General features: G+C 38.9%; 1 protein-coding gene and 3 pseudogenes across 1 annotated transcript; 1 reads left to right on the top strand and 3 right to left on the bottom strand.

Moving 5' to 3' along the window:
• Positions 1–1,154: 1,154 nt before the first annotated feature.
• IFNWP2 (interferon omega 1 pseudogene 2) lies at positions 1,155–2,081 on the bottom strand (annotated as a pseudogene).
• IFNA8 (interferon alpha 8) lies at positions 11,935–13,003 on the bottom strand. Its single transcript, NM_002170.4, has one exon. The coding sequence runs from the start codon at positions 12,941–12,943 to the stop codon at positions 12,374–12,376; it is 570 nt and encodes a 189-aa protein (NP_002161.2). The 5' UTR covers positions 12,944–13,003; the 3' UTR covers positions 11,935–12,373.
• Positions 18,565–18,874, bottom strand: IFNA12P (interferon alpha 12, pseudogene; annotated as a pseudogene).
• IFNA11P (interferon alpha 11, pseudogene) lies at positions 22,981–23,506 on the top strand (annotated as a pseudogene).

The raw sequence follows: 27,151 nt of genomic DNA, 5'->3' as shown, positions 1-27,151 counted from the left end.
TCAAATTCAGCTATTCTTTGAAAATGATGCTCAGAAAACATTTGAAAAATATGCGTGGCAATGTTAACCCACACCCTCCTCCAGGTATCACCCTATTTCCTAACACCGCAAACAAGCTTCCCAAGATGATCTTCTATACATAGTGCACCTAATACCACTTCTTGTGTTTCTTCTTCAAACTACTCCCATCTGGTCTCTGTCCCATTCATTCTGCAAAACCAGATCATCCTAAAATCAATGGTGGAGTGTGTTTCAGGTCCACTAGGACAGGTCAGTCCCCATCTTCCCTGAACGCATTACTGTTCCCTTCATTAGTCTCTCCCTCATTCTTCCTTATTTCTTCATCTAAGTGCACTGGCCACTCTATCCCGGTGTCTTTTGCAGACTCTCCTTCTCTGCTGTACCTTTAAATATTGACAGTCTGTAGAACATAGATTAGTGCTCATCTAATTTTCTCCCCTTATTTATATGTGATCACATCCATTCCCATGCCCTGATTACCAGAAATGCAATAAAGAATCTTAAATTAATACCTATGCCCATGGTATTTGTTCATTCTAGGCCAGCATTCCCAGCTGCCAATAAGACCTCTGCACTTTCATGTCTCCTGGGCGCTTTGGGAAGACATCCATTTTTTTTTCCCTTCCCAGCATCATTTACACCTAAAGATTCTGGTGTGAGAACATAATTTTCCTTTACTTCTCTCTGAAGCACTTAATATAATTGAAATAATATAAACATTAGTATGGTTTTTATGTCTCCTTCCCTCTTAGACTGAGAATTCCAACACAGCAGAAACTGTGTTTGCTCTAGTCACCTGTATTACTTGAAGGAATTTCTACAGTCTGCCACTTACTTAGTTCATAAATATAATGTGAATGGAATGTATGAATAATTAAATTTTGCAATCCTTTCTTCAATTTGGCTTAGGTTTTAGAATAAACAAAATGAAAATTTTCTTTGATAAATATTTAACAAATCAAAACTGCTAATTTAATAACATTCAATGGTGAATATATTTTGTAAATGTTAATACAATGTGAAGATTAACATGTTATATGTAAAATATCTAAATATTATAAATACAATAGATGCAAAATAGTGGAAATAAATAAATAACATCAGGGGAGTCATCTCTTAGAGTCCCATGCCGCTGGAGCTAAATGTTTTGAACACATACTTGCTTAATATACTGATGAAGTATTTGCTGAATTTAACTCAACCAATTCAGTAACTAAAGCAAAACATCCAAGATCATATGTGAAAGTGTGACATGGCAGATTAGTCAATGAGAATTATTTTAAGATGACTCCATGTCTCCATTCTTACTTCTCAATCTTTCCTGTGAGTTTGTTGATATAGAGAAGGATCTCATGATTTCCACTCTGACAACTTCCCAGGCACAGTCACTGTTTCTTCTCTTTCAGGTAGAGACAGATTCTCTGGAAGTACCTTCTCAAGGCCAGTGTAGAGCTCCCAATCACCCAGCAGATTCTCCCTCTCCCACTGCCCGCACCAAGCAGGTCTCCAGGTGTTCCAGCTGCTGATGAAGTCCAGTGTGGAGTTGGTCCAGGAGGGTCGTGTTCCAGGCAGCAGAGGAGCGCTCTGTGTGGAAGAGGCTGAAGATCTGCTGCAGCATCTCATGGAGGACAGACAGGGCCTGGGCCTGCTGCAACTGGCTGTCATACACATCTCCAGGGGAAACCTGAAGTCTCTTCTGTCCTTGAGACACAAGAAAGGGGAGATCCATTTCATTTGGCCCAGAAGCACCAACGTCTTCCTTCCTGTCAGACCATGGTTCTGAGTCAGGTCACATCCCAGAGATCAAAAAGAGCCACAGCTGCACACAACTAGGACCACCACTAGAGAGTGAAGGCAGGCCACTGGGAAATGAGGGAGCTGCTGGCCTGGTGGAGCTGGGGTCTGAGTGTAATTTGGAACCTAGGTTCTCTCAAGACATTCACTATGCATGGCTTTTAACAGGAAACAAATAGTTTTCATTTTCTGCATTCCTCTACACTTATTTCCCTTTTTATTATTTTTTTATTCTTCATATGACCTAAGAAGAAACATCACTCCATACTATTAATTTTGCAATAGAAGTCTAATTTTCCTAGTAAACTTTAGAGGTGTCAATCAAAATGGATATTTATCAATTGCATGAGAAACATCTTTGTCCTAAAGGCCTAAGCGTATATATGTATGTAAATCACACACACACATGCACGCATGCACACACTATTTTTTAATATATAAACATTGCTTTTTCTGTTCTTGGAAAAGATTTTGAGCCCTGATCCTAGGCTCTATTTTTACCCTCCATACTTTACATAGGAAATCAGACTCCCTCACCTCTATGGGTGTATGAAGTTAGGGATATACCAGACCATCTATGGCATTCAAACTCTTTAGGACTGGGTTTGTTTGCTGTTTTATTCACAGCAGAGATTGATGGGTATTGGTGAATGAACTTCTGTGAAATTTCTCTTCCTTCTAAAATGCATTTATTGAGGTCCATGAGGCCGTGGTTCATGGGGGTCACAAAGTCAGGATTAATGCAGACCATTGCTGTTTTTTTCACCATTTCTTACTGGTGGACTAAGTGCTCCTCAGGCTGTGTCAATTCCCTCAGGAAGAATCCTGGCTGTTTTTCAGGTGCATATAGGTGTAGAGATTCTAATTCCAAGATAATGTTTTCCAACATCACCTCACTCACAAGGTAGTTATCACATCCACTAACACTCTCTCCTATAGAGTCACAAAGTAGCCTGAATCCAAAATCTTCCAGACAGATTTATTCCCTGAAAACAGGCTCACCACATCCTGATGACTTCAGAATTCAACCCCTGAGGAATGTCTTGTTTCTTTGCTGCCAAAATAATCTATCTTCTAAGGCCCTTGCCTTTGTCCCTAGAGTGTTTGTGTGAGGGACCCTAGCCCTCAGTGATGGCCTCTTCCTCTCCTGAGCCATGTTCCTAGGTATCAAAAGTCTCAACAGTCCTCCAATGCTGATAGCAAAGGCTTGTTTTGTCTAAGGAGGTAGAGGACTTATGCAACTGCAATCATTTTACCTTCCTTAGTCAAGTAATTCTTATTTTGCGAAGTACAGTTTTTATTGATGAAGACCTTTACTTAAACCACTGAAAACTTGTTATGCTTGAAGTTTCTGAGGTGGACACAGGGGATTCAGTAACAATATTTTCTTTTATTACAACCTAATTTACAGAAACTAGTGACCTAAAGTTATTTTATACAGTCAGCATGATTCTAATGGAGTCTTTTTCTGTGTCTGTCTCACTCTGACAATGCAGGGCAGTGAGGCTCAGGTTATTCAGTAAGAAAGAAATAGCCTTATTTCCTTACTTGTTTGTGATTTTTCATGTTGAATTTTTGTAACTTCTTCTTCTTCTTCTTTTTTTTTTTTTTTTAGATGGAGTCTCAGTCACCAGGCTGGAGTGCAGTGGCACAATCTCAGCTCACTGCAACCTTCACCTCCTGGGTTCAAGCAATTCCCCTGCCTCAGCCTCTCGAGTAGCTGGGACTACAGGTGCTCACCACCATGCCTGGCTAATTTTTTTTATTTTAGTAGAGTCGGGGTTTCACCATGTTGGCCAGGCTGGTCTCGATCTCCTGATCTCATGATCCACCTGCCTCGGCCTCCCAAAGTGCTGAGATTATAGGTTTGAGCCACCATGACTGGCCGAATTTTTGTAACTTCTTTTCACATAGTGGTTTACTGGGTAAGGTGTATCTTGCTTCTCCTACATGATATTCTTATTTATGATGAATTAAAACAAATAAAGAAAAGTAAAAGAAAGGCAAAGGAACCATATTGTTCTTCTCCATAATTTTCAAGATTTCAGATTTTTTGTCTCTCATTTCAACTTTCCTAGAAAGCAAACCTCAACAATTGCTTATATATTAAAAACAAAACAAATATAAGCCTGAATATCAGGAAGTAAGAGAAGTGACTTTCTGCTGACAAAATAGCAAAACATATGTTAGCAAAATTCAGTGCAGCAAAATTAGAGACTAGGGACTCTGTCCCAGGGGAAGGATGAATGTCATTGTTGAGGTACACAAAAGCAAGGGAAACGGCTGCTTCTGCCAGAGCCTCACAGAAGAGCAACTCCTGGGTCAATGGATTGTCCTCAGCTTTGCAAGACCAGCCACCTGCTCTTCTTTCATTGAATGCAGATGTTATCACCTCTGAGGTAAGAAAGGAGGAGTCACACCAACCAACTCACAGTAGACTGGCAACAAGACCCCAGTTGCTAGAACACTAGTCCTCTCTGGCATGATAATGAATATTAGCCTTGCCTTAGCACCGTACCTAGTTAAAAAATCCACCCAGGAAATGAAAAGATGGCATTTAGAAACCTGCAAAGAAACAGAATTTGATTTCCCAAAAGATTCTGCTCCTAGTTGTGTTATAACAATGGTGATTTTTTTAAAAGATAACACCAAAATTATTGCATTATAACTATAGGCCTGTGACTGTTTTAAGATCATTAAAACTGTTGACCCAATAACCATGTTTGGATTACACTCATTTTTATAACTGTCTGGAGAGAAATATAAATCTGAAGGAATAGAACAAAGACCTAAGGTCAAAACCACAGGGCAAACTGAGATAATAGTGAGTCTGGAGGAGTCCATTAAAAAAACAGAACTGGACATGAGATTCATGAACCAAGGAGAGGCCATAGCATGAAATAAGAAGAGCAGGGAGGGTAAGTTGTCAAGGGATTCTGGGTTCCACTTCAAATGCCCATGTGTTGCTGTCTATTGTTTTATAGGGCAAGAGTAGGTGTGCTATGAGTGAATTGAACTGACTGACTTTTAAGTTTTTCGTAAAAGTAAACAAAAGACCATCTAAATGGATATAAGGCAGCAGATTTTTCTGCCAATAAAAAAGTCTAAAAATTAATGAGCGATTTCTTAAATGAAATATATTTAGACCACTTTAAGAACCCATTAAATGCGTACTCCTAGAGGCCTATTTATTTTTGACTCTTGAGTTGTCTTGAATAAGCAAAAAGCACCTAATATTTTCCATTTTAATGCTGTTCTCATTCCCAAGGATGACAAATCAGTTTCTTCCCACCTGGTCAGACTGGACTTTGTGTTGTCTACTGATGAACCCACTGAAGATCCTTTTCTTCTCTTTATCTTTTTATCCAACAGTTGAGCTGTAAGTGCCAAAAAAAAATATTTTGTATGAGCAAGATGGAAAAACATTATGCACTTCCCACACCACAGCAGTGAATGCTTTCAAAAGGCTACTTACCAAAGTGAGTCTTCCTTTGACTCCAAAAGCAGCCACATTGCTTAGTAAGGCTGTCTTTGGCTATCTAGGATTGTCAATTGTTGGCATCAAAATGGATGATATTTTCAACCTCTTGCTTCTACAGTGTTTCTGTTTCTTAAGATTTAAAAGATGTAATTTTTAGTTTACAAACATTTACCAAAATCAGGAAATAAAATCCTGTCATTGCCAAGTTGTTGGCCTGCCTACCTGTGTGCACAAACATGTATGACCCACACAGAGTCACATGGAGCTTTTTCCACTGTCCCCAGACTGCACGTTCAGTCAACATGTGCAAAGACCCCATTCTGTGAAAAGGCTATATACGCAAAGCGGTCCCCAAATGCCAAAAGAGCCCAGAAACCAAAGAACAAGACAGATAAATTTAGTTTGTTGGTAAAGGGTGATTTTCTGGGGAGCTTACAGACAGAAACATGTCATTGTGTAGGAACAAAACAAGTAGGTCTCAGTGCTGCAGCCCCCTAGACCTAGGGGTTATATCTTGGGGGAAAAGTATATCTGCTCTGGAAGGAAGGTGTAGGTGGCTGAGAGAATGCTAAGAGTGTCACAGTCTGTGATTTCTGCAACGTCAAGGCTTATTATGGAGGAAAAGTAAGACTTACAGTAAATAGGTGTTTCTACGTAGAGTAATGCATTAACTAGATATCTTGGAGGCATTCCCAGACTTGGGGTTAATCAGGAGTGACATGGCAGATTAGCATCTAAAACAGTCACTTTTTTCCCTATAACCCAGATGCTCTGGCAATAATCCCTGTCAAGGTGTCTTGGCCATCTGGGGAGTTGGGATGGTGCCCTAGTGCCATCAGTACAGGATGTAGCTTGCTTCACATGAAATCACCGCAAGCGGAGCTCATTATAACTCCTTTAACAGGCACAATTGGAGTTTCCTTTTATACAACAAGAGATGAATTGTTTGTAGTTGTCTGATTCTCTAAAGATTTCATCATCACTAGCTTCATAATTGGCTGTCACAGGGTGCTATATAATACATTAATGGCTGATAGTTCTAATTTGTTACTTATTTAAATTTGATTTTTTGTTGTTGTTGTTTTATGGACTCTAATCTTCAGGAAGAGTTCCAAATTCTAAATATGCTGACTCACCGCAGAATGTACTAACTGGAAAGAAAACAAAGGGAATCAAACTGCCAATGTTTTATTTTTCAACTATTTTCATTCAATGAATATTGACAAAGGTCTTTGCTATCATTAGTTATTATGATCTTCAAATATGCACATTACTAATATCTGTCCTGCTTGGAAGGCTCTGCCCTACTTGCCTCTAATTATACTCAAATACCTGATATGTCCCTTCTGTTCAGGTATTGCTTCATTTTGTTTTAGTTTTAAAGGAGGCTGCATTATAACCAAAATTTAAGAGATGTCTTAGATTGCACTGGCCTCATGGAATAATTTTCCCTGTGGAGTGATGACTTGCTAGGTCCTTAAGAGGAAACAGCAGTTGGCAGCTGGCACTAGAATAAGGCTTGTCCCTTCCAAAACTCTGCAGGCTACTGTGGTCTATCAGTGTCTCCCATGCTGGAGTCACTGAGGTTGGCCATGTCTCTGTGAGACGACTCTGTGCTTCAGTCTTCATCCACTTTCAATCTTCTCTCCCTCTCTATGATCAGAGGATCTGAACAGTTAACTCCATCTGCTCATTCACGTAGTTCCATCTCTTGAGGACCTGCCACTGTTGCAGTCAATGTTTTAAACATCTCTATTCTCCTTCCAAGATATCAGACTGCTCCTCTTTTTTTCAACTTCTTTGTGTTGTGATGTATTCTGTTTTTTTTTGTTTTGTTTTGTTTGTTTGTTTTTAAACAAATGAGAGTCCTATGTCTGGTGCAGTCTCCTCTTAGGGGAATCAGAACATGGAAACTTCTAAACATAAGAACAGATGAGCTCCTGCATTCTTTACCAGTTCTTTGGGTCATAAGTATGGGGGAAGGCCTCCTTCCATTTACTGCATTTTGTGGCCTGACTGGACATCAGTGGGTCTGGACCCCCCACAGCTCATGAATCACCTGGCAGGAGGGGTCAAAACAAGGTCATATTCACACTCTTGCTTCCAAGGCTCTAAAAACTTAGCTGTCTCCAGCTAGTGCTGCATGGTTAGCCCTTGCCAAGTCTCCATGGGAACTGGAGTGCTTCTCCATGCTCCCTGTGGCCCTTCTCAGGTAAACTAGATGCACCTCAGCTGGGTTGGGAGTGTAGGGGGAAGTAATGTTTGGCACTACAGAGGGACCTGAATGGGTGGGGCATCTCAGCACTCACTGCCCTCCAACTTCACTCTCTGTCCTGGTCCTCCAGACCCACTGCTTGATTCCTGACTACTGTAGAACACATAACTGGTTAATAACTCCAGGATATGATGCAAGATATGGCTATAGAGATTTCCAGGGCAAGGTGACAGTTTGGAGCCAAGTCATAAAACTTTTACAACAACCTGAATATAATTTTTTTAAAGCATTGAAAAAAATGAAAGAGGTTATAACATTTGAAAGACATTATGGAGGGTAGAGCAAGGTGGCTGAATGGAGGGCACCATCGATGGTCCCACCCTCTCGGTAGGAACATCAAGTTTGACAACTGTCTATGCAAAGGGAGCATCTTCATAGGAACCAAAAATCTTGTGAACACTCACAGTGTCTGATTTTAACTCTATATCACTAAAAGAGGCACTGGAGAGGGTAGGAAAGACAGTCTTGAATTGCCATCCCCACCCTGCCTCCATCCCTAGCAGCAGCCACATGGCATGGAGAATCTGTGCACTTGGGAGAGGGAGAGTACAGTACGTGTGAGACTTTGCCTTAAATTCATGGCTGCCCTCTGACAGCAGAAAGCAGCACAGGGCTGTACTCAGCTGTGCCTGCCCATAGAGGGAGCATTTGAACCAGCCCTAGCCAGAGGGAAATGTCCTATCCCAGTGATGGGAGATTGAGTTCCAGCAAACCTCCCCACCATGGACTAAAGGGCTCTGGGACGCTAAATAAACTTGAAAGGCAGCCTAGGCCACAAGGACTGTAATTTCTAAGCAACTCCTAGTGCTGAGCTGGGTTCAGAGGCAGCGAACAGGAAGGGGGCGTGTGACCTACTGAGACACCAGCAACAAAGGTTAAAGGAGTACTTGCAACACTTCTCCCGTAACCCCAGGAAGCACAGTTCAGAACTCCAAATGAGACCCTTCCTTCTGCTTAAAGAAAGGAGAGGGAAGATGTATTACTTTGTTTTCATGCTGCTAATAAAGACATACCTGAAACTAGGAACAAAAGGTTTAATTGGACTTACAGTTAGTTCCACATGGCTGGGGAGGCCTCAGAATCACGGCAGGAGGTGAAAGGCACTTCTTGCATGGTGCTGGCAAGAGAAAAATGAGGAATTAGCAAAAGGAGAAACCCTTGATAAACCCATCAGATCTCATGAGACTTATTCACTATCACGAGAACACCATGGGAAAGACCGACCCCCATGATTCAATTACCTCCCCGTTGGTCACTCCTAAATTTCTCCATCCTCCCCTCTAGAGGACAGAAGAAGACTGCAAACAATACAATTTTTTGTAATTTGTCTAAGGCCCTGGTCAACTCCCAGTCTGAAAGCAGCAAATCCAGATGTTGAGTGTGTAGCTGGAGGAAAAGACTCAAGAGGCCCCTGTGCAGTTGTAGGCTCTCCCTCCCTGCTACCTCAGCAATTCACACACACTTCCTAGTGAAATAACTCCAGAATATATGGTGTCAATTATAGGAATGCCTCTCAATCTCTACCAAAATTGATACATTTGAATAAATAGACCTCGCCAGCTCTCAGGGAACAGTAATGCTATTCTTTCACATTCCTTAGCTTCTATGGGAATTCTTCCTTTTTCTAACTGGGCAGGGGTTTTACTGTTGAGTGGAAGAACTGGAAAGATCATTATTCAAAATGACAGTGAGAAAATGTTTTAATTTGTTAATGTTTGAACTCTGATATTAGGATTAAATCTGTGAAATTAAGATTGTACTGCTGGTTTAATGCACCATTAAACATGAGGTTTCTGTGAATAGTATTAAGTTCCAATACAAAACGGCAGCCCTACCTGTGCCCTGGAGTCCCAATGTATGAGGATGGGGTGATCCTGGGGAGTAGACTGTTCTGCACAGTAGGGTGGGCAGATATTACATCTCTGTGTCCCTATCACTGCGAATCCCAAGGAGTCCATGCCTTGACTGTACCTGGAAACTCATTCTCTTTGTAATAGACCAGGGATAAGGAACAAACTTGGACAACATTAGCGTCTCTTCTCGCCAATAAGTAGCTTTTTTGCAGCACAAAGAGAAATCTCCAGAACTGGTAGGATTTCTCCATAGATCAGAAACCTGCCCTCCAGTCTTGGTTGCTGCTCTTGTTACACTTGGTCCCAGGGGACTGTCTTTTTTATTTAACTTCTGCTTTCTACTTTTACTTTTCTGCTATTTAGGGAAACCATGAAGCCAGAACCACAACAGAACAGAAAGCAGCTCTGTGTGAATGGGCAGAAGGATAAAGGGAGTGAATGATCAAGGAAACCCTGGTGATATGAGACTGCATCCTGGAATGCTGAGAGCCAGGGAAGGAATGTACCAGGTGCCAGAATCAGTCAATAAACATCATGTGTCTTCTGCAGTTCAAACTAGATGCTTCTTCTCCTATCTCAGGAAAAGGAGCAGCCACCATTCCCTGACTGCATATAAATAGGACACATCTTTGAAATGAGGATTGACAATTTTTCAGCCTCTCTAGAATTCTCATTTTCTTAATCTCCTTCCATTGGAGGTCCGTTACTAAAATATAGGACATAGTTCCTAAGAATTTTATAAAAAGACAAATAATATTACCATCTACAGCTGTATGAAGAAAAATAGGAAAATACCTACCATAGTTTAACTCCTTATTCGATAAAAGATATTATCGTAGGTGCTTTAAAATGCATGTGTTCCTTTAATACTCACAACTATATAAATATTTTGAAACCATTTTATTTATGAGAAAACTAAGGCTCTATGAGAAAACTAAGGCTCAAAGAGATTAAGCAGAATGATCAACAATACACCTACCTCCCAGCAGAATGAAATTTCAGTATCAAATTCTTTAATGTAATTGATGGGTGATTTTGTCAGTTTTGTATTCCAGATTTCTGTCATAATTGCTAAATCTCCTTTTATTCATGAATTATACATAACTCTTCCTTGCTCTCTGAATATGCGTGGTTCATGTATTTTCACTTGATGTTGACCAGTTTTTTTCTTTACCTTACGTATTGAGAAAGAAAGTCTCTGATTGTTTCCCACTTTTATTTTGTGAAGGATGTTTGTCAGTCTTTATGTCCATAGTAATTCGGTTCTTTCTGGATTGATCTAAGACTACAATATTCATGAAATCAGGAAGAATTACCAAAGTGTAACATAAAAGAATTCTTATATCTAGCACTACAAGAAATTAAGATGGATTGTAAAGGTGCAGAAGAACTGTAGTAAACCAGTGTGACAATGATGCAAGTTAACAACAAATAAGGCCAATACTTCCAGGTGTCATTATATTATCATCATTAATTATTTCGGTGAAGGATCGAATTAGTTATCTCTTACTCCCTAACAGATGAACAGAAACTAGGTAGCTTACTGATAGCCAAAGTAGTATTAATTAAAACAATAATAAATTATAATTGTAAATAATATATCATGATTTAAAATAATATATTAAGTATATTAATATGATTTGCTAGTACATCAGTTACATGAAATCTATCCAGAAAAATATTAATAAAGGAAATACTATGCACAGAAAAAGTAACTCACATTCTTTCCCCCATCACATCCTATTTTTTTGCCCTCTTCAGAGTCACTAACTTCTCTTATTTATACTTCCAGCCACTACAGTATGGTTTGTTCTGATTTATTTTACCATAATAACTCTCATAAGGTTGCCAGTGCCATCTATTTTCCCGAGGTAGTGGACAGTTTCAATGTATATCTTCTGTAAATCTACTGATAACTCTTTTAAGAATATTAATTTTCTTAAACTTTTTTTCCTAGTATTTTCTCCTGTTGTCCTTCTAATGTGTGGCCTTTCCATCTGTTTCTTTGTGGCTCTTCTCTTTCCTTTCTTAAGTGTGGAAGGTCCTCAGAATCACGTTTAAGCCATTTTCTCCCTCGACACTCTCTCCCCACATGAGATCCTCCATTTCTGGGCTTTCAGTTACTGCATATGAACCTCTAGCAATTGCATTCCTTATTAATTGCAAACTCATATATCCAACTGGTAGTGCACATTTTCACTTAGATGTCTACCAGTTAGCATATAGAGGATATCTCTGCGTTTATTTTTATTTCCTCACATGCCTTGGTCTACCTTCTGGTGAGATAAATTCATTGGTTCTTTCTTCTCATGATAGCATTAGACATAACTGATATTAAGTATGATTACTGTTTTTAGTTTTCTTTCCCAACAAAAAACAAAGATATGAGAGAGCGGGAATTGTATTTGTTATGTTCACCTGGATATCTTGAGGGCAACATACAACCTAATTTAGACAAAGTTCATTTTTACTTATAATTTGAATGTAATAAGCATGGATAAAGGAATTGTACCATCCATTCTTTAATCAGTTTGCACAATCAGGGTTGGAGTTCAATTTTAAAGAATAAATAAAGAATTTTTCTATAGTAAAAATTTAATAAACAAGGCAAAATAATAAATATAAAGAACATGTTTTTGTTACACAATTCACAATGTAAAAGTTCACATAATATAATATGAACAAAACTAATTTAAGCCCTATAGATAGTTAACTAAATAAAGATTTAAATAAATAGATGAATAGATCCATCAGCATGGTCATCTGTAAGGGACTAGTGCCCATACAGCTGAACAGGATGTTGCTTAACACTCCTGAAAACACTTGACACATTTGATTCAATTCATAGCATGGTTTTGGCAGAAACAAGGGTCTTTGAAAGAGCACAACTTGTCGAAGTGTGAGCTGCTGTATTAGTCTATAAGAATCATTTCCGTGTTGTACCAGGTCTCATTCCTTACTCTTCAATCTTTTTTGCAAGTTGATTGATAAAGAGAAGGATCTCATGATTTCTGCTCTGACAACCTCCCAGGCACAAGAGCTGTATTTCTTCTCTGTCAGATATAGAGTGATTCTTTGGAAGTATTTCCTCACAGCCAGGATGGAGTCCTCGTACATCAGGGGAGACTCTATCACCCCCACTTCCTGCATCACACAGGACTCCAGGTCATTCAGCTGCTGGTCAAGTTCGATGTAGAATTCATCTAGAAGGGTCTCATCCAAAGCAGCAGATGAGTCCTTTGTGCTGAAGAGGTTGAAGGTCTGCTGGATCATCTCATGGAGGACAGAGATGGCTTGAGCCTTCTGGAACTGTTTATCATCAAACTCCTCCTGGGGGAATTCAAAGTCATGTCTGTCCTTCAGGCAGGAGAAAGGAGAGATTCTTCGCATTTGTGCCAGGAGTATCAAGGCCCTCCTGTTACCCAGGCTGTGAGTCTGAGGCAGATCACAGCCCAGAGAGCTGAATGACTTGTAGCTGAGCACCACTAGGGCCACCAGTAAATAAAAAGTCAAGGCCATTGTAGATGTTGTGGATGCTGCTGAGCTGGTTCAGATGGATGACCCTTAACCTGGGTCTCTGAAGACTTTGGTTTGTACACCGCCTTATATAGGGAACATATTTGTTTCCATTTTCTGAATGCTACTGCATTTTTTTTTTCTACTTCTGTTTTTGCTTTCCTTTATGTACTCTCTACATGGGCTTAGGAAAGTGTTTCTCAACCAGTTTTCTTTTCATTACTGCATTCCCTTTCTCAACCTCCAGAGTCCTGTTTGATAATTTTTTTCTAAGTAAACCCCTCCTGATAATTTAATAACACAGATATATTATGCACATATTTGAATGTACTACATTCCTATCCATGCTTTAGAAAACAAAGTGGACAGTTTACTTTTTTATGCAATGCAGCATTAAGAATAAGTAAAAATTTTATGTCAAAAGTTAAATTTAAAAGCTATTGGCATTTAACTTTATAAAAGTTATTTGCTGAGTGACTTCTAGTATATATACTTATATAAATATTAATGAATCAAGTGAAACATGCAAAGTTATAATATATGAAAATATATAATACCAATATAATAAAAATACTTATATAAAATATGTAATATCAAAAAAATAAAAATACTTAAAAATCTCCCAAAACTGCTAAGGGGCTATTTAAAATTAAATTATTCCTGTAACATTTAATTTATTATACTTAACTTTTAGCTTTGCTTCATATAGAAAATGATTTTTACCTTCACTAACTGCTAGATTTTCATCCAGATATAGTCAACATATTTTTCTTTTCAGCACTTCCTATAAGTAGTGATGTTTGAAAAAGTTTTATACAATTTAATCATAAAATAAAAACATTTGTATAAAAGAGTATAATACACTTGAAAGCACTGAGGATCAAACATAAGCTACATACCCAAGACAGCCAATGGCAGCCCATTCATATGCCGATGGAGACCACATCACATGGTATGACTCTGAGATTGAGCACATAGTGGAAAGTCCACCAGTGACAACCATCTATTTCACATTGGTTTGCAACACTAATCTCACATACATTTTGTGTATCTTCCATGAACTCAATATCAGTCTTTTCATGTAATACATAAGAAAACCAAGTGAAAGAAAATAAACACTACAGGATAGGGTTGTCTTAGAGTTCTGCATTGAGGGGCCATAAACGAATATAATATCTACAATTTGTTCACACCACAAGAACTAAGGTTTGTGCCCTTAGGAGCAATATCATCCCCAATGAGAATACACAATTGAGAAAACATCAATTATATTTTTCAAAACAATTTTTGCATTAATGTTTAGATTTCCCAAAGAACCTGGGGACATCCCAATTCTAGTTCATTCTTATAAAATAAAAAAAGCCATCTGTTTCCTAAGGTAAATAATAATATCTAAGTATGATAAAGTAAATGAGGTGTGCAATTGTTGTACATAGCATGCAGGATACCAGATATCTTTCTCATTTCCTTTTTCACAGAAAGCAAAAGTTGTTGCTTTTTGTATCCCAATAAATGAGAGCAAAAAGAAAACAAATGTATAACTAAATGTGATAAAAACATAAGAATGGAAGTAACATCCCAAAGGAGAAAAACAACTAACAAAATATAACTTGGATATTCAGCCCAGATTAGATGGACATTAAGGGGTGAGGAAGAGCAGAAGCAAAATGGTGCAAGAGATGTAGAACAAAGGTAGCAAATGGGCAGGAGCTCAAAGAAAAGTAATCATTACTGGTCCAAGGGGATGTTTTCAGCTTTAGTGAATTCAGCCTTACTAGACAGTTGAGGGTGATGAACCAAACATAAGACACTGTGCACCAGAAAGGCAAATTTGTAAGAGCACAATATTCTGTCTGTAGAATGGACAAGTATAATTATCTCAAGTTCTCCACTAGTAGACAGATAAACTCAGAAGATCAGTATATTGCATGTTATCTGTTGTGATGGTTAACATTGAGTGTTATCCTGATTGAATTGAAGGATGCAAAGTGTTGTTCCTAGGTGTGTCTGTGAGGGTATTGCCAAAGGAGATTAAAATTTGAGTCAGTGAACTGCGAGAGGCAGACCCACACTCAGTCACTGTGGGCACCATCTAATCAGCTGCCAGCATGGCTAGAATTAAGTAGGGAGGAGAAGATGGAAGAGGAGACTTGCTGAGTATTCTGGCCTTCATCTTTCTGATGGATGCTTCCTGCCTTTGAAATCAGACTCCAAGTTCTTCAGCTTTTGAACTCTTGGACTTACACCAGTGATTTGGAAGGGGGTCTCAGGCCTTTGGCCACAGACTAAAGGCTGCACTGTTGACTTCTCTACTTGGGAGGTTTTGGGACACGGACTGATCCACCACTGGCTTCCTTGCTCCTCAACCTGCAGACAGCCTATGGTGGGACTTTACCTTGTGACCGTGTGAGTCAATTCTCCTTAATAAACTCCCTCTTATATATAAACATATCTTCTTAGTTCTGTCCCTCTGGAGAACTCTGACTAATATATCTATCTAACAAGAAGCCAGGGAATAGATGATCTCAAAGGAAACTTATCTTGACTTAAAAGGACAATAATGATAACACTAATAAGAAGAATAAAAAGTTGCTAAATTTTATCATGTTTGCTATCAATCAGATATTGTTCTTAGCACTTACAAAAACTATTTTCACTTCATTCAATGAGAAATACCCTCATTTTCATTTTTATTGAACATCTACTATATGCCCATCCCTACTTAGTTGCTAGAGATATCAGTGACCAAAGCAGACACTGACAGGTTGTACTGTTGTCCTTTTTTACAAAAGGAAAACCCAGAAGCACAGGGAGCTATTGAGTTGTGGAGCTACAGTTGGAACCCAAAACATCTGACTCTAAATCCTCATTTCTTACATGTTCCCTGGGAATTATTTCTGGCCATAAGACCCAGAGCTGGTTTCTAGACCCCGGTCAATGTTTTCTTAGTACAGTTCTACATAAAGAAGGTCACGGCCTTTCTTTTCAGCTCCTTCACCCTCTCCCTCACTGAAAAGCCCTATTTGTTTATGCCTGATATGTTACATTATAATAAAGATGGGCCCCAATTTATTTACATGTTATATACTAGTTTTGTTTTTTTGAGAATGTATATTCATAAACTTGAATGTAGTTGCAAAACTCTTTGTTCACCCTAGTAATATATCCATAAACAACTCCGTAAAAACCTGCATATTTCTATCCTTTTATTCAAATATCCGTAAGGCCTTAGATTTCTATCTTAGCCCAAGTTTAAGACTAAGCAATGACAAGCTAGAGACATGAGCTAAATCAGAACTAAACCAATGAACTAAGGCTCAGAGCTCAGGGAGACCACATCTAGAAGGGCTCACTAAAAGGATTAAAAGTGGGAATGGAAGGTCTTCTGGAGAAATGAGGAGAGTCCAGTGTATTATAGGAGGAGGACTGTGATACCAAAGTCTCTGAGTCACCTGACTTGCCAGCTGGTTGATGCCTTTTATGTTGCAGGCCAGCAGAGTTTGCTGCTGAGTTAATTTTACCACTTGTTTTGAGAAACCGGGCAAACATGATGGGCAATATATGGAGAGAACTAAAGAAATGGGGTTGGAAAAAAATAACGTGTTTGCATAGGTGGAAAGATACTTGCTAAAAACAGGCCTAGAATTGGAGCAAACTATGCCTTTACTCCTTCCGTTTGGCCTTCCATTTTTTTAAGTGTGTCTTAAATAATGTGATAATTATGTCGCCTTATCCAGTGATTTTTTAAGATTCTCCTTGTACAAAAAATAGATGAATGACCATTTGCTTCTTGTTATCTCCATCCATTTTCCATGTGATAGTGAGGTCCATTTCTGTTTGATTTCCAAAATTTGGCATGTAATATTCAAAGTGCTACTTCAGGTGAAAAAACCGTGATTTTGGATTTTGAGTCCTTGGTCAGATGTTTTTGCCTGGTAGTGTTCTTATTCTCCCTTAGGCATGGTTATAATTTTCTCTTTTTTTGCTGTCTGAGATGTTGCCTTTAGTGATCTGACCTATTTTCTCTTTAGAATATTTTATCAGGACTCCATAAGATACTTATGGGCAGACACGTCATCTTATCTAGTCTTTTTCCCTGGCATCTTGGCCCAGTCCCTATCATTTCAGGAGCTCAGCCAATATTCATGAAAAAGAGTAATCACTATAAAACCAGTGGAAAGAATATTACCAATACATATTAGATACATAATTTGAAAGGAAAATACATCAAAAGATAATTTGTAAATTCTTCAAGGTTCTTCATTGGAAGTTATCATTGAAAATTATGTGGAATATTCAAAGAAAGAACAGCCACTTGCTTGTAGAATCATTTTCAAGTTTGTATTTTTAATAATTAGAATATCTGAATGAGAAAAAATGACTTGGACAAATGGAAAATTCCCTCTCCACTTTTCTTTCAGTGGTCTTCAAGTACCTGCAGAGATACCTGTCATAGTTTCCTTGTCTCCTCAGACAATAAGGAAACAATTTCAATTTTACAATGTGTTCCAAGGCCTTATCCCATACTCTTGGTCTTTTTTCAACTTTAGCCAATGGCTTTGGGAACCAGTTTAACCCTTTCTTTCAAAGAGTCAATGATGCCATAAACTCTAATAAATGACATCTGTGTCCACTTCCCTGCGTTTGAATTGTGAAATCAGATTTTGGAAGAGAGTTTTTAATAGAATATGTGAGCAAAAACATTGGTTGTTTTTCCTCCAAAAATAGCATTTGTACAAATATTATAAAAATGAAGATTAATCTTATTCAAAGAACTTGCCTTCTTTTCCTACTAGTCACCCAATTGGACTCCCTTTCACAACTTCTTTGCATCTTGGTATCCTGTGAGAATAAATCCAGGCCAAGTTAATTTGGTTGGAAGAGATTCTTGCCCTGTAACATCTTGGCAAGATGTGTATCTTGCCCTGTAACGTGTGAAAACAACTCCACGTGATGTACCACACAGTTTAACCTTTGCAATTGACTAAAATAGATTGAAGCACCACAGCCACATTTGGGGTTATATGTTGAAGATAGCAAAGCCACAAAATAAAAGGTACTCAGATCCCTGAATAGCCAACCCGAGTCATCTGAGCAGGAAGTCCTGCATTGAGCTTTTATAGGAAGGAAAGGTAAATTTGCATATTGATCTAATTACTAATTGTTTTCTATTTATCTGTTACAGCAGCTCTCATCAACTTAACTGACAAAGTCTTTTAAAATACTATCCTGAAGAAACTTTTCCATAAAAAATTAAATTTTCAACTTTGGAAACAGCAAATACCCCTCAAAGATTTAAGCAGATAAATAAAATAATAAATGATCATCTTAAGAAACTAATACGTGTTCTTTTCTGCAAATATTTTTTATAAATTTGTAATACACAATATAATTTTGATATAATCTACTGATTTTGGTTTCAGATTTTTCTAGCTGGTTAAAAAATCTGAGATGACATTGCTTTTTTGGCTCAGAAAACAATAATGTAATTGATTAGAGAGAGTCATGAATATATAATAACTTTCTTGTTTATTTGCTGTCTTTTCTTTGAGGATTGTTAACTAGGGAAAAGCACCCTTCAATTTCCCCTCTGACAACCTCCCAGGCACAGAGGCCTTATTCCCTTTACTTCACATAGGGAATGATTCTTTGGAAATATTTCCAGACAGCAATTCCTAAATAGAGACAAGATAGATTTTCTACTTTTGCAGAAATGTACTTTTGTCAGCTGCAGTCGTTCCAGACTGTGATCAAGTCTGGAGAGTCGTTTATTGAGGAGGATCTTATGCCAAACAGCCAGTGTGTCGTCCCTGGGGAAGAGGCTGAAGATCTGCTGGAGCAGCTGACGGTGGAAACGGATGTCTCCTGTCTTCTGGATTTGGGTGATAGTTCCTCGTTTCCTAGAAAACTTGAAGTGGGTTCTGTCATTAGGCATGATTGAGAGGGGATACTTTTCAGCTGTGTGAATAGCACTGAGGTTTCCTCCTGCCTTCCTTGTTTTCTAGCCATGGCTCCAAGACTTGTCCCTGCCAAGTGAGCAGGCAGCGCTGGAGATGAGCATGATGACTCCCGCCATTACCAGGGAGGTGTAGGCCACTGTGATTTCAGAGATTCACTAGCCGGCCTCGAAGGGGCGCGGGCCCGCTGCGCAAAGAGCGCAAAGCTCCCAGCGCTGCGCACCACGGCCGCAGCAAGGCGCCAGAATGGGTTTTCCTGATGCCCAGGATTTGGGAACCGCGGGTTTGAGTTTCGGGGCGTCCCGCAGCCCCAGGGAAACGTCGTCGCGGCTTATCGCGCCAACTTTGTGCAGCTTCGACCTGAGTAAAAAAATCTCTTTTGCTGCTCAGGAGGCAGCTCCGCCGTGGTCTCCCTTGAGACATCTTCCTCAGGTAGCCAGCAGGGCACCTTTTATTTTCGGGATTTTCCCCTGGGTTTGGGGCTTTTATTTCCCATAGAGACTTCAGCGAGACTTGTTTTTACAGAGGGACCCGTTGATTCCGGGACTTGAGGGCTCGAGATCGCACGGGTTTAATCTTGGGGATTCCGTTTGTGTGGGGGCGCAGGGCGGGGACGTCTTGGGGAAGGGGACACGCTGGACCCTGGGGCGAGCGGACGGGTCCTGGGAGCGCCCGGGGCTGGGGACGCCGCGCACCGGGCCAGGAGCAGAGAGGCGCCCGTGCCTGCCCCAGGGTGTGCCAGGAGCTAAGCTTTCAGCTTCAGACGCCAGTGTCGCTGAAACCATAATTCAGGTATGTTAAAACTCAACAGCATTATTTTAAATACTTTATACCAAAACAAGAATGTTGTGATCTTACTTCCCTAGCTTTAAAGGAAGCAAACTCAGCAATGCTTTCAAGATCCCTACTTTGTTTTATCTGGGAGAAGTGCCATGTCTGACATTTCCAGTGACTCAGTGACACTGAGATAATTTTATTTAACTTTGGTTTACTGAAAGCCCTTCCTCAAGACCCCACCTTGACTTGTGTTGCTGAAAAGAGAAATGAGCAGTGTTGCCTACAAAGAGTAGAGGAGCAGGTCAGAACTTTTTATTTTCTAGGGTAAGAATTTTATAGCCTGAGTGGAGTTTGCCATAATTTGTTACACTGGCCCCTCTCCTTTGTAAGACCCTCAGGGTCATCTTACATTTCCTGCCTTTACTTAATTAAAATTTTGATATTTGCCTCATCATGGATGTTTAGGCATTAATTTCCAATTTTAATATTGTATTAAAATAGTATTTGAGTTGATAATTTAAGTATATATTTTAAATATATAAAGGATATATATTTTTATATTGATCTATTTTATATGTGTGTTTCTGTACATTTAAATACTTACGTATACATATTTATATATTTCAGCATATACTTTATATAAAATTATAACATATGTATATATTTATATATTTAAATACCCATAATATATAAAATGTAAGTATATATTCTACATATACTTACATATATATATAGATATAGAGTTATAAACTAAAACTAAAAATAAAATACTAAGCCACCCATTGGCTGAACATGCCCCCTTTTGGCCAATGGAACCCCTAAAAACCTTAACTGAATTCTCAACCATGATGGGAAGCAGGATGGACACGCCTCATTATATCCCCCTCCGTTTTGGAGTATGGACACAAACTGGCCAGCATTGATGTTATAAGAGAGATAATAAGACAAAACAGACTTTGTGGCAATAAGATACCAAATTATAAGCAAGACCTAAGGCCATGCAAGGCGAGAGTTATGTACTGCAAACCATAAAATCTCCTTAAATGGATTTTTAAAAATTAACCCAGTAAAATGTGGCTCACTTTCTAACCTAACTCTCATATAATACCATATGGCAGATTGCAGACCCATTTATCTTAATTTAAGCATTCTTTTCTAATGACTTCAAGTCTTTAGACAAAGCTTAACTGTTTCAACCAATTGCCAGCTAAAGAATCCCTGAAACCCACCTGTGACTTTTAAATCCCCACTTTGAGATGTCTTGCCTTTTCTGGCCAAACCACTGTATACCTTCCATGTATTGATTTATGATTTTACCTGCAATTCGTATCTCCCTGAAATGTCTAAAACCAAATTATAACCCAACCACCTTGGGTGCACTTTTTCAGGACCTCTTAAAACTGTTTCTCCAGGATATGGTCACTCATATTGGCTCAGAATAAACTTCTTTAAAATATTTTCCAGTCTTACAGACAATTTCCTCTCCTAGAGTTTCCATTTAGGAGGCGCCAATGTGCAAGACCCTGAGAGTGTCAGGGGAGCTGCAATCAAAGCTTTTCTTGGATGGACTTGGTTGAATATGGACTATACAGATTATAAATACATGGTTGTATGTATATATATATTTTTTCTATATAGTTCACAAATGCAAACTATATAGATTATACTAAAGGTTACTATCTGTATTAGTCTGTTCTCATGCTGCTACTAAAGACATACCCAAGACTGAGTAATTTATAAAGGAAAGAGGTTTAATTGACTCACAGTTCCACATGGCTGGGGAGGCCTCACAATCATGGCGGAAGGTGAATGAGGAGCAAAGTCATGTCTTACATGGTGGCAGGCAAGAGAGAGCTTGTGCAGGGAGGAGAACCCCCATTTATAAAACCATTGGATCTTGTGAGACTTATTCGCTACCACGAGAACAATATGGGAGAAACTGCCCCCATGATTCAATTATCTCCACCTGGCCCCACTATTGACATGTGGGAATTATTACAATTCAAGGTGAGATTTGGGTGGAGACACAGCCAAACCACATCACTATAATTTATCATGTTCAGATTCTCAGCCAGTAATTTCCAAACTTTATTTCATTTAATCTTTACAGTTTCTAATATGACAACTACTAAAATATTCTGAATTTTTCAGAAGAGGAAATGAAAATCTGATGTTTAACTTGCTAAGAGTCACAGATTTTGTCAGAAAGTGGAGCTTTCTACTGCCTCCAACTCCCCTCTTGATTTGCTCTCAGTACTTCCTCTTGGCAGCACTGAGAATGCTAGTGCTTAATTAATCATAATCGTGTCTTTAATGTCTGGCTTTTGCTCCCTGGAGGGCAATCATCATCCTGTCTTATTATCCTTGAACCCACATTGCCAAGCACATTGTTTGTCCCGTATATGCAGTGAACACATTTTTAGTGACAGAATGAAGACAACTGGATGAGTTAACCGTTGGTATGCCAGTTTTATGCCCTGTGATCTGTAGATTGTGATCTGTGGCTCCTGTAAAGAAAGGTGGAAGAAATCAAATCTAGTGCATTAGCCCCTTAAAAGGGAAATGGAGAGAGGTGAGGAAATGTGTATTTCAGTGCAGTTTAATATGTAAAAATGGGCCAGGCACAGTGGCTCACGCCTGTAATCCTAGCACTTGGGAGGCCGAGGCAGGCAGATCACTTGAGGCGAGGAGTTCGAAACCAGCCTGGCCAACATGGTGAAAACCTGTCTCTACTAAAAATACAGAAAAATTAGCCAGGCATGGTGGCAGGTTCCTGTAATCCCAGCTACTTGGGAGGCTGAGGCAGGAGAATTGCTTGAACCCAGGAGGCAGAGGTTGCAGTGAGCAGAGATCGCACCATTGCACTCCAGCCTGGGTGACAGAGAGAGACTGTATCTCAAAAAAAAAAAAAAAAAAAAAGGAAAGAAAAAAAAGAAAAGAAAGTAAAAATGACATCTAAGATAAAACCTCTAAGCATCATTATTAGAATTTTAAGAGAAATAGATTGAGACTCAGACAGGTTTTTATTTAAACTAAACATTCTCATTCGGATGAATACATCCTGTTAGATCGCGATTTCTTTCATTTTCGGAGTGTTTAATTTCCATTATAATACAAAAGAAGTGCTGAGGTCATGACATTATCTGAGATCCATAAATAGAATAGAAAGTGAACAAAATGGAAAAAAAATTGAGATAAGTACAAAAACTGAAAATCCTTGCCTGGTAATGTAATAGTCTCACAACAAGAAAGTGCTGAGACAGCTGAGTGAAGGCTCACAAGGCCCGGCCAGCTGCATCCCACCAGTGGCCCTGCCAACCTTTTCACTAGTGACACTGAGGATGATGTTCTCCAGCTTTCTCTGTACCCTTAGCTGTGACCTGGCCCAGCCTGCCAGAAGCAGGAGACCTTCACAGTTCTTCACCAAATGGAAGAATCTTCCTTTTCTTCCTGTCTGAAGGACAAGAATGTTTTCAGGTTCTCCTGGAGCAGATGGATGGCACCAAATTCCAAAAGGCTCAGGCCACCAATATTCTCCATGAGATGATCCAGCAGATCTCCAATGTTTTCAGCACAAAGGGCTGAAATTCCTCACTGGGCTTGGTCAGTAGCTAGAATTTCTGGAGAACTGTTTGGAACAGGAAATGGAAGAGACCTTGGGTAGAACTCCAGCCTGGCTGTGATGGGTTATTCCCAAAGGACCAGTCTCTAGCTGAAAAAGAAAGTACATAGCTGCTGTGCCCAGGACATTGTCCTACCAGAAATTAAGAAGTAAAAATCAGTAAGTTATTTCTCTGTGCTAATAGGCTTATCAGAAAACTCAGAAGTTTGGAGAAGAGACTTAGACGTAAACCTCATTTTGGTCAGTTGGGTCTCATCTATTAATTTGTTGCTTTAAGCTCAATTCAAAGACTTTCCTTCTGCTTCTGTAATAAAATGTATTGAGTCATTTTTGTTAGCCTTTTTCAATAAGAAGAAATTGTATAGTACTTTTGAATATAAGGAAAGTACATTTTTAGTTTGTAACAATTACAATTTATCTCATGATACTTGTCTTCAAATTTTATTCTTTATAAACACGGTCAGCTTGCCTTTTTTTGTTTGTTTGTTTTTGCTGTGGAGTGTAGGAGGGAGTTAAATCTTAACTGTAAATGTTGGGTCTTAACTCATACTCTTGAAAAGATACAAAATGTCCATAAACCTTTAATCTGCCATCAATTTCAAAAAGAACATAAATGGTTTTATTTATTTCATTGCTTCATAAAATATTTTGAGTATATCTGTTTCAAGTAATGTACTTATTTAGTGAGTATATTGGTAAGTAAGACAAATGTATTATTTCTGTAGTGGAGCACTCTGGCAAAGCTGACAGGTCTTATAGAGTAAGTAATCGGTAGGAACCCTTTCTAGGGCTATGAAGAAGATGCACCAAACACTTTGGCAGTTTTACTAGCTGGAACTAATTCAGTTTTACTTATGTTTTTTGAAAAAGGCAGGAGGATAGCTTGAGCCCAGGAGTTCAAGCCTGCCATGGACTGTGATCATGCCACTGCACTCCAGCCTGGGCAACTTAGCTAGACCTGGACAACTTAGCTAGAAATAAAAATTAAATGTTCTTTAACCATTCACTCCATGAGTCACTCTTATCATGGTAGCTCCTTCTGAGCAAATGTGGTTTTTTTCCCCAAACACCTGCATATTCTTTCTTGTAGCCTCCTTCTACTTCTTGTGGGTTTCTTTCTCTCATTCATACCCGTGTGCCTTTCTTAAATGGGGCCAACTTCAGGCCATCATTTCTCTCCTCTCCTTGATTCAATATCTGTGATTTTACTTGTGAGTATAGATATGAGATCCTCTTTTTAGAGAAAGGGTTAATAATTATACTTGATAATTTTGTCTGTCATATATGATTTAAACTTGAAATATTGGGTCACAATCTAACCAATGTATTACAGGTGCTACATGAATGATTTCATGACGAAGAGACCTCAGGTTATCATGGTTATATGGCAAGGTTTCATTAAAATAGTTTTTATTCTCTACATTTGTTTGAGAATAAAGAACACATTCCTTGCTGCTGCCTATATTTTCTTATGGCACATTAATCCTGAATTGATTACTAATTAAATGTTTCAATGTTGCTCTGATCATGACCACCAAGGGCCTGACAGACAAATCACACAGGCTTCTTTCAGTCTTTATCAAAAATGGTGATGATGATGATAGCAACTACAAATTATTTTCCCCTCTCTGAGGGACTCATTTAATCCCCTCACTATAATCTCATTTACCAAAAAACTGCATGCTAACGGAGTGTATGTAACTAAAACAATCTAGTAAATAAAAGGCAAATCTAGGTTTCAAAACCTAGATTTTGTCAGACTCCAAACTCCACCTCCTCACCCACAGCATTACGTGTCTGTGCAAACTGCATGTACTGAATCATCACTTATTTTCTAGAAAGCCTTCCACTTTACTTATAATACACTGATGTTCCTTTATGGTCTACAATTCTCAAATTGATTACAAATTATCAGATACTTTCACCAATGTGTGCCTCACCTACAAATATGTAGATGTGTTGACAAAATGACAAGGAAATATCTTGACCATTTTATATAGTTGGCAAAATGAAATTAACAGTTGGTAATTATCTCTGAGAGTCTAAAGCGTAATCAACAAAGTTAATAATCATCATAATTATTGGTATAAAATAACCATATTTACTATGGCCCAGGTGGCTCTATATGTTGCTCAGTTAATTCTCACCGTAAGTTCACGAGGTGCGTGGGAGACAAGACCTGTGAGACTTATGACCTCTGGACCAGAGAGTGAGTTTCTTACAATTATTTCAGTGACTCCTGTAGAAAACAGAGCTAGTGGCTCTTGTGGGTGGAAAGGAGAGGATACTTATGCTTCCAATTTACATGACTATGGGAAATGATTGGGAAAATAGAAGATGACATATGCTGATGAGTGAAATGTGAAGGATGGAGGAGAGCAGAGCAGGTGAGGAGTGGCATCAGCAGAGATCAGGACACGGAGAATTTCAATCACCAGCACAGCAGTGACACTGAGCACGCGACCACTGCTAACAGCGCACAAAGCTGCCTTTGCTGTTACAAACAGCCGACAGAGGGCGCCGGACCAGCGGTAACGGACCCACCAGCGACCCTAACCCGCGGTCGCCCCTTCCTCAAGGAGACCCGCGCTTGGGGTCCGCAGAGTGGAGGCCCGGGCGCTTGGGGATTAGGGTCCGCAGGCCTCGTGAGCAGCGAGTAAACGCCGCCTTTCACGGCTCTGACTACAGAGGGAGAGCTCTACCGCCGCCTCCCCCGAGACATTTTTCTCATGGAACATTTTAGCGAGACCGTTTTACCAATGTGCCAGTGTATTGAGGGGACTGACGGCTCAAAATCAGATCGTGCCGTAGTCAGTGTTAGAGATTCAGGGCCATTTCTGCGGAGAAAGACCCGAATTCGGAGAAAGGGGAAAATCATGAACAATCAGGAAGCGAGCTTACAAAGTGCTGTCCACCTTTCAGTGGACAGGGCACCCCGGGGGAAAAGGAAAATGTGTGCCCCAATGTAGGTGATTTTATTAAGTTTTAATGGTTATTTTTTCCTACAACAAAGTAGTTGAAAAAACTGAAAACTATTAAAACACATTATTTTAAGTTTAAATATGCCAAGACCAGACTTTTTTTTTTTTTTTTGTAAGTTTCTGATTTTAATGTAGGCAAACATCAGAATATTTTCAAAATTACTTTTCTGCTTACTCATTTTCAATTAAGAACATTACCATGTTTGGCAATATCTCATGAACCAATAACTGTCTTCCTTAATTTCCACTTATAGGAACTTTTAAATCCTAGTTGTTTTAAGCAAGGGCTTTCTATGAAGCATTCAGCTTTATATGCTGTATAGTCATGGTTTTCATTGGAGAATTTTATTAACATTTTCCACTTGGTTCAAAATGTCATCCCACATAGATAAGTTGCATAAAAATGTGTAATCTCTTTGCATTAAGATGCTTTCCATTTCAGCATAATGCAGGTTTGCATTTGGTATCATTTACTGCTTAATACATATCTTAAGTGCCAATACATCGATTTTTATTTTTATGCCCTAGATATCCTTAAGTGTTTTTAATGTAGTGGTTAATACAGACATGATAATTTCCCATCTGCTAGTTGAATTCAAAAATGTAGATATACCCTTTGTACAATACTTTTAAAAAGTTATCTTAATTCACAAATGCAGATTTTTACATAAGATTATGAGCTGAGTAAGGCACAAATGTGACATAATCATTTTGGGTGGGAAATAATGGCTTTTATGCCTTTGTGTACACCTGCCACCATTGCCTCATTATCATATACTTGGCTAATGTCATTTTTATGTCCATATCATTTTCTAGTTTATTAACAATTTCATGAACTAGATATATTGAAGTTTTTCATTTTAAAAATGTCAAA

This window comes from Homo sapiens, chromosome 9 (assembly GCF_000001405.40).
Source record: "Homo sapiens chromosome 9, GRCh38.p14 Primary Assembly".
In the NCBI taxonomy this organism is placed as follows: domain Eukaryota; kingdom Metazoa; phylum Chordata; class Mammalia; order Primates; family Hominidae; genus Homo; species Homo sapiens.
Note: the sequence above shows the minus strand (reverse complement) of the source record. Positions and strands in the feature narration are given on the sequence as shown.

Coding starts and splice junctions, on each gene's coding strand:
- IFNA8 (NM_002170.4), bottom strand. CDS start 12,943: ATGGCCTTGACTTTTTATTTACTGGTGGCCCTAGTGGTGCTCAGCTAC.